The sequence below is a fragment of the Homo sapiens genome, chromosome 9 (genome assembly GCF_000001405.40).
Source record: "Homo sapiens chromosome 9, GRCh38.p14 Primary Assembly".
In the NCBI taxonomy this organism is placed as follows: Eukaryota; Metazoa; Chordata; class Mammalia; order Primates; family Hominidae; genus Homo; species Homo sapiens.
This window is the reverse complement of record NC_000009.12, coordinates 82,327,919-82,345,804: the sequence shown is the minus strand read 5'-3', so window position 1 is coordinate 82,345,804 and position 17,886 is coordinate 82,327,919. Positions and strand designations below refer to the sequence as shown.

Below are 17,886 nucleotides of genomic sequence, written 5' to 3'. Positions count from 1 at the left end.
TGGTCTCGATCTCCTGACCTCGTGATCCCCCCATCTTGGCCTCCCAAAGTGCTGGAATTACAGGCATGAGCCACCGCGCCTGGCCCAGGCTGCAAATTTTCTGAACTTTTATGTTCTGCTTCCCTTACAAACTGAATGTCTTTAACAGTATCCAAGTCACCTCTTGAATGCTTTGCTCCTTAGAAACATCTTCTGCCAGATACCCTAAATCATTTCTCTCAAGTTGAAAGTTCCACAAATCTCTATCACAAGGGCAAAATGCCACCAATCTCTTTGCTAAATCACAACAAGAGTCACCTTTGCTCCAGTTCCCAACAAGTTCCTCATTTCCATCTGAGGCCACTTCAGCCTGGATTTTATTGTCCATATCGCTATCAGCATTTTGGGCAAAGCCATTCAACAAGTCTGTAGGAAGTTTCAAACTTTCCCACATTTTTGTGTCATCTTCTGAGCCCTCCAAACTGTTCCAAACTCTGCCTGTTACCCAGTTCCAAAGTCGCTTCCACATTTTCAGGTATCTTTTCAGCAGCACCCCACTCTACTGGTACCAATTTACTGTATTAGTCTGTTTTCATGCTGCTGATAAAGACATACGTGAGATTAGGAAGAAAAAGAGGTTTAATGGACTTACAGTTCCACATGACTGGAGAGGCCTCACAATCATGGTGGAAGGCAAGGAGGAGCAAGTCACATCTTACGTGGATGGTGGCAGTCAGAGAGCTAGCTTGTGCAAGGAAGCTCTCATTTTTGAAACCATCAGATGTCATAAGACTTATTCACTATCATGAGAAGAGCATGGGAAAGACCTGCCTCCATGATTCAATCACCTCCCACTGGGTTCCACCCATGACAAGTGGGAATTGTGGGAGTTACAATTCAAGATGAGATTTGGGTGGGGACACAGCCAAACCATATCAAGAGTTATTAATAAGAACAGCATGTGAGATTTGTTATTGAATGGGTTTTACTGAGGTGCTGGCACTTTCTGTTCAGCCTGAAGTGGTATCACCTAAAAGACTTTCTCTTTAATCAAAGGGCTTACTCAGGAAATTACACTGTCATGCTGCAGCAGTTGGGAAAACTGATGTACCTCTAATAAAGATGCTGCTAAAATTGACAGTGCAATTTCAACATTAAACCAAAATGAAATCTATGACATGAAATTCACCATAGATCTGGTGGCATGGATATATATACTGAATATACTGTACTTGGAAGCCTACAGAACACTGACTTTCTGATATACAGAGGATGTGGCAGGAATAGTGGCCATAAAGGCATCAGCATCAGAGGTTTACTTTGTCCTGGGTACTGAGGGAAGATTTCTTCAGAATATCCTACAGGATACCAGTCTCCTTCTTGGCATATAAGACCTCAAACGATTATTGGATTTCTGGTATATATATATAAAACTCTGGAAATATTCTTATACTTTACTCCTTTTCTCACTTCCAGAACATAGCAGGGCTAGTACACAGCTGAAATTTCATATCAGAGATGCTTTGGAGCAGTTATTCCTGGTAAGCAGTAACATACCATGCTGCATTAGGAAGAAAGGCATGGTTGTTGTCAAAACACTGTGCTCCATGTTTCAATTTTGCCATTCACATATGACCTTAGGCACATTCTTTGATTTCTCAAAAATCAAACTTTTCATCTTTAGAGCAGGCATCCTTACAGGATTCATGTGAGGGACAAATACTGAAAATATGCCCTATATAGTAAAACACTGCACAAAATATAAAATATTATTATTGCATATATTGAGCCATTCATTCTTGGTCACACTCTACCAAAAATAAAAGTTTTTTAATGTAAAACCTCTAATTTGACATTAATAGGAAGTCAAACAGTACATCTCAGAAATCACTTTGAAATGTTAAATCATGGAGCAAAGAAGGAGTCAATATTCCTAGTAATTAAGAGCTGGGCTTTGGAATCAAGTAGAATTAGATGCAATTCCAAGGTTAAACACATGCTTGCTGATTTATTTACACATCTAAGCCTCAGTTTCCTCTTCTTTCAAATGAGGACTTTGATAAGGCCCCGGTCATTAAGTTGTTGTGTTAAATGAGAAAATGTATATAAAAGTGATTAGACCATAGTTTTCAATAGATGTTATATGATTTTACTGTTGTTGTTTCTATTGTAATTTGCATTTTGAAATTACCTAGGCAGAAAAAAAGTCTCTAATGCTAAGGACAAGAATCCCAAGCAGAAGCTGAGAGAATGTGATGGGGAGTCTCACAGATCCTAGAGCTCCAGAATTTAAATTAAAGGCCTCCGGTAGTGGTTACATTTGGACAGTTAAAAAAAATGGTAAAGCAAATTAGCCTCATTTTCCTCCAGGCTCTTCCCCTTAAACTGTCTTTCATTTACATTTTCAGAAATACCAGCTGGGAAACAACCGTATTTGTGACCTAGTTCTTCTCCTGGGATGGAGGAGGGCCTAAGTGAGAAGATTCTGCCCAAAATGGAGTCAGCAGTCAAGGCTAAGTATGGGGGTAGTTTTGCTGACCATGGGCACAGGGCATGAAAAAGGGAAAAAGGAAGTTTTACATGCCTGGCAAAGGTAGATAGGGAAGAAAGGGGTAGCCCATAGGGTCTTAAAAGAAGACAAGAGAATAGAAACTGAAGACATACCAAAGGTAAAGAAAGCATGCATGCCACTGTGGATTGGCAGGATAAAAGAAGGGGTTCAGGTCAAGCCTGAAGCCATGATAACAGAAGTGTGGTGTATTAGTCTATTCTCACACTGCTATGAAGAATTACCTGAGACTGGGTAATTTATAAAGGGAAGAGATATAATGACTCACAGTTCCGAATTGCTGGGAAGGCCTCAGGAAACTTACAATCATGGCAGAAGGCAAAGGAGAAGCAGGCACCTTCTTCACAGGGTGGCAGCACAGAGTGGGTACAAGCAGGGGAAATCTCAGGCGCTTATAAAACCATCAGATCTCATGAGACTCATTATCACAAGAACAGCGTGGGGGAAACTGCCCACATGATCTGATTACCTCCACTTGGTCCCGCCCTTGACGCATGGGGATTATGGGAATTACAATTATAGGTGAGATTTGGGTGGGGACACAGAACCAAACCATATCTAGTTTTTAAGAATAACTTTGGTGCTCGGTGAGGAAACTGCTAGAAGTAATTCATTACCTTTGTTTGAGGTTAGTGGTAAAGAATATTAGATAATTGTGAGATTAAAACTTTAATTTCTTATCCTAAGTGAAGAAATAGGCTATCTCTTCAGAAAATAAAATATGCTTTTGGAGGTACGAATATGCATTTGAGAGAGGAGGTAGAAAAAAACTAGCTAGGCAAATAGTTCGGGAAAAAAGTCCTCGGCAGAACTTCCCTTCTGGCAAAAAGCAGCCCAAGAAATCACTTCTTTTCTAATAAAGAGCAGCCTGGAAGATCAGGCTGCAAACATAGATAAGGAAGCTGGAAGTTTGCAAGCGGGGAATGCCTGCAGCTGCACCGATAGAAAGGGGTAGCTGGGGGCCAGGCATGTCACCATGGGGGCTCCACCTCCTGCTTTTTAACACATACACAGTAGGAAAGCAACATGGAGTAGCTCAGGCAAAGGACCTGCCTATGTAATAAAAGATTGATGTGGGGGCTGCCAGAGATTCACCCTCTATTCAGATGGCACACCTGGTCCTAACCAGTTTTTCACACCCTATGTAGATAAGATGCTGCTTCCCCACTAGCTTATAAACACTTGCATTTCACTGCTGAATGGCAACCCTTTTTGGGACCCTTCTCTGCTGCAGATAGCTGTTCTCTTTTTTTTTTTTTTTTTTTTTTTTTTTTTTTGCCTATTAAACTTCTGCTTCTGCTCTAACCTGACATTTGGTGTGTCTGCGTTCTTGATTTCTTCGGCCATGAGACCAAGAATTTCAGGTGCTACCCCAAGCAACAAGGCTGTTTCACACTGAGCCAATCTTAAAAAGTTTTACTATTTTATTAAACTGACACAGAATCCATGACTTTCTGTGTTCAATATTCTTTCTGGTTCAAAAACAAAAAAGTTCAAAAACTCTAAACAATAAAACAAAACAAAATTTCAATCTACTTCCTAATGTTAATCTGACTCCCTTCGCCAAAAATTAAAATCTTCAAAATAAATCATACCTTACCAGAAAAATAATCTGCAAGTATTAGTAATGCACACAGTAAGAAGAAAATTTATAGTAAAGCACAGTGCTCATTAACAAAATAAATCAAGATTCAGCTGCATGTGGAAGAAAGCATCCAGTGAACTGATGTTAAAATTTGTGATAGAATCATTTTTTTCCTGCAATTTCCCAAGATTTCCTGCATTTACTGAGACCCTTCAGAATAAGTTACTGCTTTCTTCAGCACACTTCAATGTTTTCACTCGTGATATCTCTTAAAATCAGGCATGACTTCAAAGGCAGGGGCAATACACATTACTATTACATATTCTTTTTTAAAACCATAAATCTAATTTTTTATTCTTAATTACATTTTAATTATTACTTGTTTTTAAACAAAATTCAACCCATGTTGTGGTGAAATGTCAACTGTTTTTGCCAATTATAACCGTTTGATGCCTGGACAAATAACAAAGTTTGCTCTATGGATTCCTTTTTACTACCATATTGCTTATTTCTAGTTAGAGGGGGGAAAAGATATGTAGAATATTTGATATATGAAGGGAATTTTAGAGCTCATGTTTCCAAGTCTCAAAGTCCATTAAACTGAGATCCAGAGATCTTCTCGAAAAACTGTTGCGACATGAGAAAAGACAAAATGATATGAAATCTGGAGTTCTCCAACATCACCTTAACCAGGTCACCCTACAATGATGATACTGCCAATTAATCCCACTCACATGCTTAGAGCTTCCAATAAGTGATGTGCCCCTACTTGGAAATATGAGCAGACATCCAAGGACTATCAAATACTCTAAGGCTATAAACAGAGTGATAAAGATATTGGAATAGACATATTAGAGAGTGATCAGTAGGGGAGAACCAAATGCTCATCTTCCATACTGGGAAGTCAACAAATAATACCTAAAATGTAAATACCCAAAGAATAAGGTAAACAAGTAAAAAGTGATAGACTCTAGGTGGGGGAATTGAAGAAAGGAAACTAGGCACTGATTAGCCTTAACCTGCCTTGTGGAAATAGCTGGCCCTCTGAACTAAGTGCATGCATACAAAAATGAAAATTTTCTTAAGGAACAAGTAGAAGTTATCTGAGATGTTAACAGGATGTTAAGAGGAGGACCAGCAGGAGGGTGTCCTAGGCGAAGGCTGTGATGGAGTCACAGCATGGTATAGTGGGAGACTATGAGCAGAACCACACTGCTAAAACATTAAGTCTGGGTTATTGGGCAGTCTCTAGATAGTTTCTTCTACAACATTTGTACTTCCTCATCCACCATGGAGGTGACAGAAAGCAGTGCCAAGACTGTTGACAATCTGAGACCCTGAAAATGTGCACAGTGCTTCTCTGGCACAGCTTGAAACAAAACTGAACTGTTCAACCTGGTAAGATACCTCTAGTGTTTTGAAAGAGGTATGAAGTTTACAAATTGCTTATTAGTAGAGTTAAGTGTGCCCAGAACTAGGTGAGCCAGAGTGTGACTCCAGATAGAGGACCCAAGTAGGTGGCAATGCTGGTCTCGCTGAAGCTTGGTCGACAACCAGCATGCTCAGGCTGGGAGAGATGAATGAGAAGGAAAAGGAGTTTCCCTGGAGCCTCAGAACTCCTGTGCTTATGGTGGTCACTTAGAAGGAAGTTTTCTAGGGTCATAAGCGGATTTAGCTGGTGAAGATGTTTTGTTCCTTTCTTCTGGGTATTGAATTACCCATATTGTGAAAGGTTAAAAAAATAGTCATTAAGTTAAAATGAAAAAGTCTGGCTTATAAAGGTCAAAATTGCAAACAGGTAATCAAAAATTAAAGGATAAAATTTAAATAGCAAGCACTAGAAATAACAGAACATTATAACCAATTTTTAAAAACTGTTTTTGCAAGTGCTATGTGTATTTAAGAGGACAAACATCAAGGATAAATTGTGTGCACTTACAATAACAACAGGGGGAATTAGAGACAATGGAAAAGGAAATCGTAGAGACACTAAAAAATTACTTGCAGCTGTCTTTACAAATATAAAAGACTAGAGATTTGTCTGATTTAGGGATCAGATTCCTTCTACTGAAAGCATGAGAATTCGGAAGTGAACAGATAATAGTGCTACTGCTGATAAAGATAGAGTATCTTTCATCTGATAAATCCAGACAAGAAGCATCAGAAAGAAATGGGAAAGAAACAGACAGGTTTTTAAGAGATTCGTTTTTGAATTTGTGTTATTTTCATAAAAAGCAAGGGGCTTAGACAGTGACTATCATAACTGAATGGAATCATCCCTGCTTTAAGAAAGGTAACAAAACAGTTTAATTTTGGTGAAAGAACAACATTTAGGAAGGATGTAATCAGAAAGGAAATAGCATATGTACCATGCCTTTTGATACAGGAAATGAACTGTTAGATTAGAATCTACTCCCAAGTTCCTCTCTGAAAATTGTGAAAACATACAGGCATAATTGCAACTGCCCAAAGATAAAGAGGATACTCCTGGCCCTACCCCATAGTTCTGAAGCTTCGGTTTGATTTATTTAAAATTTCTCTGATTTAATAATCTCTGAGGGATCATTATACCCACATTTGGATGCTGGAAGTAAAGTCGAGTCATTTTGGAAAGCTTTGTTGAAGGTTTCACATGCTCTGTGAGGTTTCACCATTAGCTATGACCTTTAACTTTAGTATCCTTTAACAATAACAACAAAGTAAAGCCAAGCAAATATCCAGCCTTGCTCTTTCCAATGAGTGTATCTATTATATAGAGAGCACTTGTCTCTTTGGGGGTTTGGTTCTAGTCCTTGCCCTGATTCATTTCTAGTTTTAATCAGAAGATTTACCTCTTTTTACCTTTCCCACCCATCTTTAAATGTGAATAGTAAGACTGGCTCACTACACAGAAATTTTAGGAGGATAATTGTGTAAATTGCATTGACTTTGCTCTTTCCAGTTGGTGAATAAAAATGTTTATTTTTACAGAGCTTATTATCACTTTTTAAGTTTTAGAATTATAGCAACCTGACAATAAAATTACCCTGTTGAGAACTGGAACTTGGGGTGTATAAAATAACCAGTTTTAGTATTTTTTTCTTTTACTGCTAGTGTTAAAGTCTTACATCAATAAAATGATAAAATCCTCTCTCTCTCTGCATTTGTCTCTCTGTTTGTCTGTCTGGCTTTCTCTCTCATACACCCACAGATATAGACACACACATAAAATTTTCTAATTCAGTAAGTTTGTCTAAACATTTGAATGGTAAATTGTTAGGCTTAAAAGTTTCATTTTATAATAAATCTTCAGTCTTATAAAAACCCAGCTTTTTCTACTTAAAAAACGTTTATTTTATTCCTTTCTTGGGAAAACCTATCTCAGAAAATGATAACTGCTATGAATAGGAGTATACAAAGTAATTTAACAGAGAATTCAGACGTAGAACAAAATACATACAGGATACTAATTTAAATGTAGCATTTTTCATCCATGGAGAAAAGCAGGATTGCCTATATATGAAGTCAAAACAATTGAATAGCTGTTTGGAAATATGAAGGTTGAATCCTTCTATTATTCTTTATGCCAAAACAAATTCTGGCTATAACAAAGATTTAAATGTAAAAAGAATGAATCTTCAAAAGTTCTCAATAAAAGTTCAAATAAAATTATTACAATCTTAGAACATAAAAGGTCTTCTGGTCAAGGCACATGATGAAGAACATATAAAAAATAATGAATAATAAATTTAGCAGTATAAAAATTTTTAATTTCTATATGGAAAAATAAAATAATGGCAAAATAGGAAACATTTTTACAATATATATAAAATATTTTTCAATTTACATATATTAAATATCAGGATAATTTTCTTAATTTAAAAAGAGGTAATATAAACATATAATTTTTAAAAATAGAATAACTCAATCAAAAAATGAGCAAAGGATAGGCACACAGAAGACAAATACAAGAGAGCATTAATCATATGAAAAGTGACTAAACCTTATTCAAAGCTCAAAATGTAAATTCAGACAAATATGAGATGCTATTTTTACCCATTAGAATGGAAAAGATAGACAGAGACATAAGATTCCCTTGTATAAATAAAATATGTATTTTATATACAGAAGCACATACATATGTACATATATGTATGTGTACTGCCAATTTATGTATAGCAATTCTGTCTGACAAAGATATGTAAGACTTGATTGCCTTTAGAAAGAGAGCCCAATGTGAGAAAGAGAGACTTTTACTTTTTTTTTTAAATACACTTTATTTTTAGGTTCACAGTAAAATTGAGCAGAAAGTATAGAGGGTTCCCAGATACACAATGCCCCTGCACATGCATAGCCTCCCCGACTGTCAACATCCCCTACCAGATTGCTGCATTCTCCACAATGGATGAACCTACACTGATGCATCATTATCGCCCCAAGTCCATAGTTCACATTTGGGTTCACCGTTGGTGTTGTGCATCCTGTGAGTCTGGACAAATGTATAACGACATGGCTCCACCATTATAGTATTATACAGAAGAGTTTCACTGCCCTAAAATCTTCTGTGCTCTGCTTATTTGTCCCTCTCTCCCCCTAGCCCCAGGCAAACACTGACCTCTTTACTGTTTGCCTTTTCCAGAATGCCATACGGTTTGAATCATATAGTACATAGCCTTTTCAGATCGACTTTTTTCACTCAGTAGTATGCATTTAAGGTTCTTCTATGTCTTTTCACGGTCTGATCATTTATTTCTTCTAGTACTGAATAGTACTCCATTGTATGGATGTACCACAGATTATCCATTTACCTGCTGAAGAACATCTTGGTTGCCCCCAAGTTTGGGCAATTATGAATAAAGCTGCTCTAAATCTCTAGTTATAGGGGCTTTTACTTTTAATTTCTTATTTTTGACTATTATTTGAATTTTCTAATCAAGGGAATTTGTTTTAATGCTAACAAGCATGATGTGGGATGGTATGATGAGCCTTTTTTACTTATGCATTTTAATCATTCCGTTACCACCAACCTAATAAATGTTATTTTTAAAATTTATAGCTAGAAATCAGCAAACAGATAAACATATCAATAAATATGTAAGAGGCTATTCTATCTCACTTTCATATAGTTAAAATAGTAAGTATTGATGTAGTCAACACTATCCACTCTGCATAAAAGCAATTATTTCAGATCTATGCAATGGTTACAACAGCAAATCTAGAGAGATGGGGCAAAGGATGTCAGGTGGACAGAAGCCCCCACTTTTTTTTAGACTGTAACAGAGGACTTGAGGACTGGGAACAACATCCTATGCCCAGAGTGGCAAAACTTAGTCTTACAGGTTTGAAAGGATAACCACGCTTAAGTCAGTAATCTCCTCACTATGGAAACATTGGAGAATGGGGTCGAGAGAATCAGAAAACAGATCCACCTTTAAAAGCTTACCAAGCCACTAGGACCAGTCCATGATGAAGGAACAGGCAAGGAAATTAACATTTCTGGACACTTACTATGTTCTGCATAATACCTTTCCTACTGATATTGTAGTGCCGTAGTCAAATGGATCTAAAAAATGAGATTCACTCTGACTTCTAGTCTACTAAAAACTCTATGAAGTCCTACAGCAGAGAAAACTGTTTAATTTCACTTGACACAGTTTCCCAGAGTACTTTTCATACATAACCCCTTTTAACACAGGATAGAACACACTTGGGGAAGTACTGGTCTATTTCCTCTAACATATATTATTTTATTTGATCCTAATAATTATAGGAGAAATATCTTATTTTCTCCATCTTAAAAATAAGAAAATTGAGATTTCAAATATTTAGGTAACCTTGACCAAGATTATGCTAACCCTTATGTGAGATTCATACTCATGTTTTCTCAACTCTAGATTCCTCACCAGCTATTGTAGAAACCCATGAAAATCCACCCAGCTCAGAAATTACTCCAGTCTGGATCCCCTTATTCCACTTTGATATTTTAGGAATAAGGATATTCTATATAAAGTCAAAGCAATGACACTAGGGCCAAACCCAGGATTTGAGACTCCTAAGGCCATAATTTACAAACTATAAGATGCTTGCATAGGCTCAGTTGTAATGCAATAAAATATTGTGATTCTCTACAGATCAAATTATTCTCCTTACAAATCATCTGAATTTGTTGAGTTTGGTAAACCTTTGAGGATTTGCCTATATCTAGGAAATTCAGACCAGTCATGTAATTGAGTAGTCCCTGAATCATGATTAGACCTAATTCTAACCCTTATGTTCTCTTAGGCCCCACTGAAAGGTATCTGATACCTCTGTAGCAAAACACAGAGCAAAGAAAGGAGAAGAGAGGAAGAAAATCTGAACATTACTCTAAATTTCCTTGCTTACATGGGTTTTGGTCAGATATAACTCCAATTATTTTTCTCTGCATTAATTTCTCTTCTGGTAAAGTGCTTATAGAATTTATTTCCAGTTAAAGCTTTTAGGGTAGATCATTGCTCAAGCCATTTTCAAGCATATTAGAGAAAGCATTTGAAAATACACTATGGGTAGAAACTCAGATATGGCTCTTGGGAAAAAAACAAGATGACTTCATAGGTCTCCCCACCAACTCACCTAACTCCTGTGATTGAATTAATACAGAGGATAATGGGGGAAGAGGGATGGAAATGTGAGTTGTAACCACAATTTGAACTGCATACAGTTACATCATGGCATCAGTTTTTCCATTCAAGTTGGTAAATGGCTATACCCAGAGATATGTGAGCCCTTTCTGATGAGATACAAATCAATCCAAACTGTTATACAATTCTCTCTTCCAATAAATTTAAACCACGTCTTTCCTCTTCCTTCAGCCTTTGGTTCTCATTTTATTTCTAGCTCACCGTGGTCTGAGCTCAATTTTTAAGGGATTTGATCCAGTTGCCTGGCCCTGAAACTTGAAACAATTTTAAAAATAAATTCAAATTGTCAAATCCTAAGATCTGGTTGAGTGGGGTTTGCCACAGGATAAGGGAGGCAGAGAGTATAGGAGTATGTCTCACCTAAGTGGACTATAAGAAAAGTTTAGAGAATACCTTTGTCAGTTAGCTATTACAGCATTCCAAACCACCCCCATATTTAGTGGCCTAAAACATTATGCATTTTTATTGCTCACAAGTATATGGGAGAACTGGCCTTCTGCCCTTCTTGTTAGGAAAGTTCTTCTGGTCTTAGTTAGGATCACTCATACATCTGTGGTCAACTTGTGTTGTGTAAGCACTTTGCTGATCTTGTTCAGGCCCACTCTCATGTATAGAGGCTGGCTGGCTATCATAGAATGGCCTCAGCAGAGATGTCTCTGTTCATTCCAAGGTATTTATAGACAATAAACAACTATTGTTGTTTTTCTGTTTTAGAGAGAGGAATATTATGTTACTAATACAATATGTGAGTTAAGACATGAAGATGTGCTCCTTTAGGAGTGTCTGATCTTCCTGAGGCTAGCCCAGGCAGAGCCAGGGTCCAAAAGGGAATAGAAGCAAACAGGCCTCTTGAGGCCTAGGCTCAGAATTCACACATCATTTCTCTATCCATATTCTATTGGCCAAAGCAAGTAACAAGGATAACCTAGATTCAAGAGGTAAAAAAACAGACTTCACCTCATTGGATGAGCCTCAGAGGGTGTTGATACAGGGAGAAGTGAACCATTGGGGATGTCTTCACAATCTAATTATAATAGTATTTGATCTCTTTCCTTTTCTAGATGAATCTTGAGGCACTCTGGACGCAGCTAAAGGAACATCCCAGTATCCAGGGGAGGACAGAGGTAGAGTGCCATGATGCCTATGTTAGTCATCAATACAGCTCAAAATCAAGTGACTCCTCCACGAATAATGTAAGCTCTATAAAGGCAGGTGGCTCTTCTCTTTCTCTCTTCCTCTCTCCTTTCCTCCCTACTGAATGCCTATATTTTCAGAACACTGGATCAGATGCTGAATAAATGAATGAGTGAAAGGAAGCATTATGTGAGAGTGTCTATTGAAGGAGAGTCTGATGAAGAAAGTGAACCAAACTCAGCAGAGACTGGGGAAAGCAATAATGAAGTGATGCAAAAGCAAATAAGGAAAGCCCACCCTGGAGAAGAAACTCCTGAGCTCAAGTGAAATGACAGTGGTGATGGTATTTTTGAGGTTCATGCTGCTGCTGACTTGGCCATGCTGGGAATATTTAAACAGGAGGAATGAATCCACTGCAACGAATAAGTTGAACAGGAAAAAAACAGATTATGTAGCTCATTGTTCTAGAAAGCAGCTAATTCCAGGTGACTGAGAAAGAAAGGATATGGTGACTCTCTCTGGGGTGGATCTGGGGTGGGTTTTACTTACTGACCTGGGGGGCCTGGGAGACCCCAAAAATGTAGAGATCTGTCATTAATGTCAAGGTCCCTGCCACTGGGAGCAGTTTAGAAACAGACTTGTGACACACAAACTGCAGCCCACTAGGAGGAAAGGAAAGGAAAGCTATCACATGACAAGAGATAGGCCTTGGGAATCTGAACCAGTAAAGAGAAACTGGTGGCAATCACCAAAGGAGGGCCAAGGAGAAGTGAATCTTTAGTGCCTCAGGGATTCCCCAGATCCTCAAGGCCATGCACCTATTTGACTCCCTTGTCCTTTAGCAAGCAGATATGTGTTTTATCTCGTCAGTAAAATCTGCATTGCCAGGATGACAGTACTGACTTTCTGCAGGGTGCATAACAACTTTCCAACATGTTGTCAGAATGTGTCAGGTCGAGTTACGGTGATTCTATTTCATGAGGACGTGACACATGGCGCCATTGCTGGCGATTCAGACATTTCCTGTCAATGCCTGCCACTCAGGAATGGATGTGTAATCAAACCCAAGTCACAGCTAAGCTTTTTGCATGACAGTCACTTCCAAGTTTTACTTTTAATACCTAAGGTTTTGTGTTACTGATATTAAATAAAAACTCTTTGCAATGAATTTTAAATGAGGTAAAAGCTCTCACCAGAGATTTGTTAAAAGCAGATGAACAGCTGTTCTCTTTTCCCCCTTTTTAGTAGAAGAGCTTTAAATTATATATTAACCAAAAAGGTAAACAGAATAAAATGGGCAATTAAATATTAATGGAAGATGTAGTGGAATTGTCCTGTGCTGCACTTAAAACAGCTTGAATGATTGAGCTGTGAATTGCTCTCCCCGAGGTATTGAAATATTCATCAGTGCTATTTAATAAATGTTCATATTCGTAGGCACTCATGTTTACACTACAGCACTTGCAAGAGAGTGCTTACTAAAGAAAACATGCTAATGGAAGGTGAACTTTCCTGTACAGTGAGTCATCTTAAATTATACAGAGTGTGCGCCGAGGAGACAGGGAAATCTCTCCTCTGACAAATGAGAAGCTTGCATAAGAGAGGGATGTCTTTTGTTAAAGAGAATGGCTGGGGATGGCACAGAGGCATTGTGGCTCCAAGACTATTTTGAGGTTTTTAAAATTTTATCTGGTTTGCATTTTTAAAATGTTTAACCTTTCCTGCCTGAAGTAGAGCTTCATTCCAATGCTATTACTGTAAACTGCCTACTTTATGGGAAGGAATGCAAGAGATAGCAAAAAGAAACTGCAGTGGAAAACCCTTAAACAACCGAGGTAAAGCATTCCAGGTGACAATGGAGACAGAATCAAAGACACACACAGCATTTCCAGGCAGAGGCAGACACTGCCTCTTATGGCTTCCTCTCCGTGACATTTATTTAGTCATTCTTTCCCAAGAACTGTAAATATGGTATCACCTCAAGTAGGGAGCTTGATTGTTCTCGTAAGTTAAACAGGATCAGAGCTGGTCAATACCTTGGAATTGGCCTATCTCTAGGGAAAATATTAAGATTTGCTACAGCAGCAGAGCTGTATTGCTGATGAGTGGTATAACCTAAAGGGAGCATGACAGTCCAACCTAGACACCTATTTACAGGCAGTTACATAGTCACCAAAATCCAGCAGTACCATTGGTTGGATTAGGGTCAATTGGGATGGCCCTGCATCATCCTAAGATTAACCATAAAAACTTGAGACATGTTTATTCAGTAAGAAAAGGGAATCTCAGTTCTCAGAGTAACAAAAACAGCCATATAGAGTACTGTGGATTGACTTTGGTCTCAATGTTTTATTCTTCTGACACATACCTGTGTCATTGATTCACAGTGGGTAGAAAATACCTCTCTCCCCTTGACGGGGGATTGGCCATGTGACTTGCTTTGGCCAATGGAGTGTTGGAGGCCATGCAATGAAAAAATGTTTAAAATTTTCATGCACAGTTGAGCTGGTTCTCCTGTGCCCAGGCCTTTTGCCATAAGAAGAAAATGTCTCCAGTAGCTGCTAGTCCAAGAAGGATGAGAGACACTATGGCACAAAGCCCAACTGAATCCTCCTATATCACGTGAGCTCTAATTATATACAGATGTGCAAACAAGATGCTAATTTTATATGCCAATGAGTTTGGGGATAGCACTATTATGGCACTATTAAGGTCAGCAAGGATCATTCCAAGGTATTTATAGACAATAAACAACTATTGTTTTTCTGTTTTAGAGAAAGGAATATTATGTTACTAATATAATATATGAGTTCAGACATGAAGATGTGCTCCTTCAGGAAAGGACACTGCCTTTTATCTAAGGAGCCTTTTAAACTAAGGAGCCTTCTTTAGTTTCTCCTTTTCCTTGTACATCATCCTTTCAAAAAGGTCACCAAGTCCTGTTGACTCAAATACTTGAATACATCTTATTCTTTCCATTTGCACGGCCACTGCCTGCTTCCAAACACTGTAGTTTTGATTATTACAATAGCCTGCTCAGTTGTCTTTCCAATATCTACATTTCTGTCAGTCATGTTTCCAACAGATCATGGAAAACTTCCTGATTGTATCACTATCTTCTCTAAATCACTTTAATAATAATAAAGACACCTATCAATGATTGCCAATCAAGTACAAATGCTTTAGAATGTCTTTCCATGACACTGAAGATTTTTCCCAAAGTACCCTTCCATCTGTATCTCCAGCAATTTCTCCTTAATCTCCATCCTAGATTATGGAATTCCCAGGTTATTTTTACTTCTACAGCTTCATTCCCCACGCTCCTTCTTTTGCCAAGCATGCTGTTCTCTCTGATTCCCTTTCTGATTTATCCTCAAAGTTCCAATGGAATCACAGGTCACTCCTTCCTTTGGACTACGATAAGACCTTGGAAGAGCATTTATCCCATTTTTTTTATAAATTCTGTTGGCCTGCCCAAGACTCTGAAGCATAATACAAACAGAAAAGACTTTGACTTAATTAAGAGATTCAAAATGAATGAAAGGAAACACTACCACTACCAGAAGGAAACCCAGGTTATATTTAACAATAATAATTTACTGAAAATAGTACCAAGTTATATCTAGGCATTTGTTTCTTTAACAGTTTCCTCTAAAATCCTTTATAAATATATTTTAAGCTAGAATTAGACTTAGTTGCTTAATAAAAGTTGTTTTTATACAAAAGGAAAATTAAATTTAAAATGTGGTATTATCTCTGTTGAGAAAGTTATAAGAATCCTTGTTTGTTAGACTATAAGACCATTGTTCAACTAATATCAAATATATTCCAGTTATCAAGAAAGAATATCATGAGTATAAACAAAGACACCAATCAGAATAATCTATTCTTTCAATATACTTTTATCTGCTGATTTTCTCCTAATACATTTGTAGCACTTGGATGTTGTGTAAGGTCTGTTTTCAATGTTCTATAAATAAATCAGGTATATGTTGAGTTTGGTAACTAGTTGAATGTCTACTTAAGTTCTGATAGTCAATGAGGCAAAACTCTCAGGACCAGTCATTTTACTGGTTAAACACCAGAGGCAAGAGTATTATACTCTACAGATATATATACATGAAACCTTGAAAAGAAGCTGACTGAGGCCATTTTGAGGCTACCTGAGGACTTGCTGAAACAAAGTAGAAAGATAAGGCAAAGGACAACAGAAGAGGTGACAGGGAGCGTGAACAAGACTGTGGGCCGTCAGCCCCCTTCTCCCCAGCATGACTGCCTTCTCCTGCAGCACAATTTGTGATGTTAAGAAAATCGTCCAACATTTGAACCAACTAGTCTGTCTTACATATCTCACTCTATACCTTTAAACCTATCTAGAGATCTAAACAAAAATACTTGCCTCTAACAGAGTGGGTTCCACCAAGCCTAGCCTTACAGTGAACACAAATGTATAGTTTTGTTCAAGAGACGAGGGGGACCTTGTTAGCATGAGTACCATAATAAGAGTACATTGAGGAAAAGTATTAGCACGTGTGCTGCAAAGCCTCCAGGAGGAAATTAGCTGTTTTAAACCATGGAACTAATGTGAATCATTGCTAATAGCTGCTTATTTATCACCAGCATAAAAAGATAATTTGCCTAAGCTAATGAAGTAATTCTAGCTTTTAACTGAATGCTAGTTATTAATTGCATGTTACTGAAAAATACAGAGGCATAAACTACGTGAAGGAGTGAGTACAACCAAACCATGCTAGTGTATTAATATTTCTTGATGCTGCTGGGTTAATATTCCAGTTTCATGAATTTGGAAATATCAAACTGTTTAAGAAGACTCCTGTGGAGAGAAAGAAAACCTGGATTCAGCACCTTTATAGAAACAATGTAAACTAATTTGGGCAGAAAAAGATGAGGTGTGTGTGTTTGTGTGGTGTGTGTGTCCTTTGCTTTTTCCTTCCTTTTCATTACAGGTGAGAAAATATCCTCAACAATAAAGTGTAGACATTGTAGTCAGTAGGCCTGATATTTAATCCTGGCTAATGCTTTCTAGTGGTATGGCCTTAAATTTGTTATTATTTGTTTCTGAGCCTTAATTTCTACCCTCTCTAAAATGGGATAATAATATCCAATGTAAAAGCAAACCAATCTGGCCAGGTGTGGTGGTTCACACCTGTAATCGCAGCACTTTGGGAGGCCAAAATGGGTGGATCATGAGGTCAGGAGTTTAAGACCAGCCTGGCCAACATGGTGAAACCCTATCTCTACTAAAAATACAAAAATTAGCTAGGCATGGTGGCAGGTACCTGTAATCCCAGCTACTCGGGAGACTGAGGCAGGAGAACCATTTGAACCCAGGAGGCGGAGACTGCAGTGAGCCAAGATTGCGCCACTGCACTCCAGCTGGGCAACAAGAGCAAAACTCTGTCACCCAAAAAAAAAAAAAAAAAAAAAAAGCAAACCAATCTATTGAGTAGTATTAATTTTCTGGATTATAAACAATTAACGGTTTTATAGGAGTTTTTTTCCTAATATATTTCTCCAAATCTACTGTGTAGAATCGACCTGTCCTTCTGGGTTGTGACTCCCTTAATGAAACTGTGGCAGATTCCATAATTGTCCAGTGAATATTGTTTATTAGAACAATCTTACTTCAGTATTAGAAGACATAGTCCTATCAAGAACTAAACATCAATCCCATATCTGATTCAGCATTTTTCTCCTGACTCCAGGGTAGGACAGACTGACTCTGGCAGTCTGGAGTTGAGTGGAGGGTGGTGAGCTCTTCATCTTCCCTACCCACCCACCCTACATCCTGCACCTTTCCCTTCTTTGTGTTGATTGCTCAGGAGTTGGACAAAAGTGAGAGAAAGAAAAATTAAAGTTCCAACTTGGCTAGGCAAGATTATATTCCTGTCCTTGGCTGTAATGACTGTTGCTCATATTAGTTTATGGACTCACTGAGA

At 37.9% G+C, this 17,886-nt stretch overlaps 1 long non-coding RNA gene across 3 annotated transcripts in view, besides 1 other annotated feature; it reads right to left on the bottom strand.

The window, feature by feature from the left end:
- The window catches only part of LOC105376107 (uncharacterized), a 378,142-nt gene that overhangs the window by 9,582 nt on the left and 350,674 nt on the right, over positions 1 to 17,886 (bottom strand). The gene's annotated exons all lie outside the window — the stretch shown is intronic.
- Positions 12,684 to 13,827: an enhancer, noted in NCBI's record as "VISTA enhancer hs752". NCBI's record gives its function as "enhancer in: neural tube[4/7] | dorsal root ganglion[4/7] | trigeminal V (ganglion, cranial)[4/7]" and the evidence as "EXISTENCE:transgenic organism evidence [ECO:0001131][PMID:17130149]".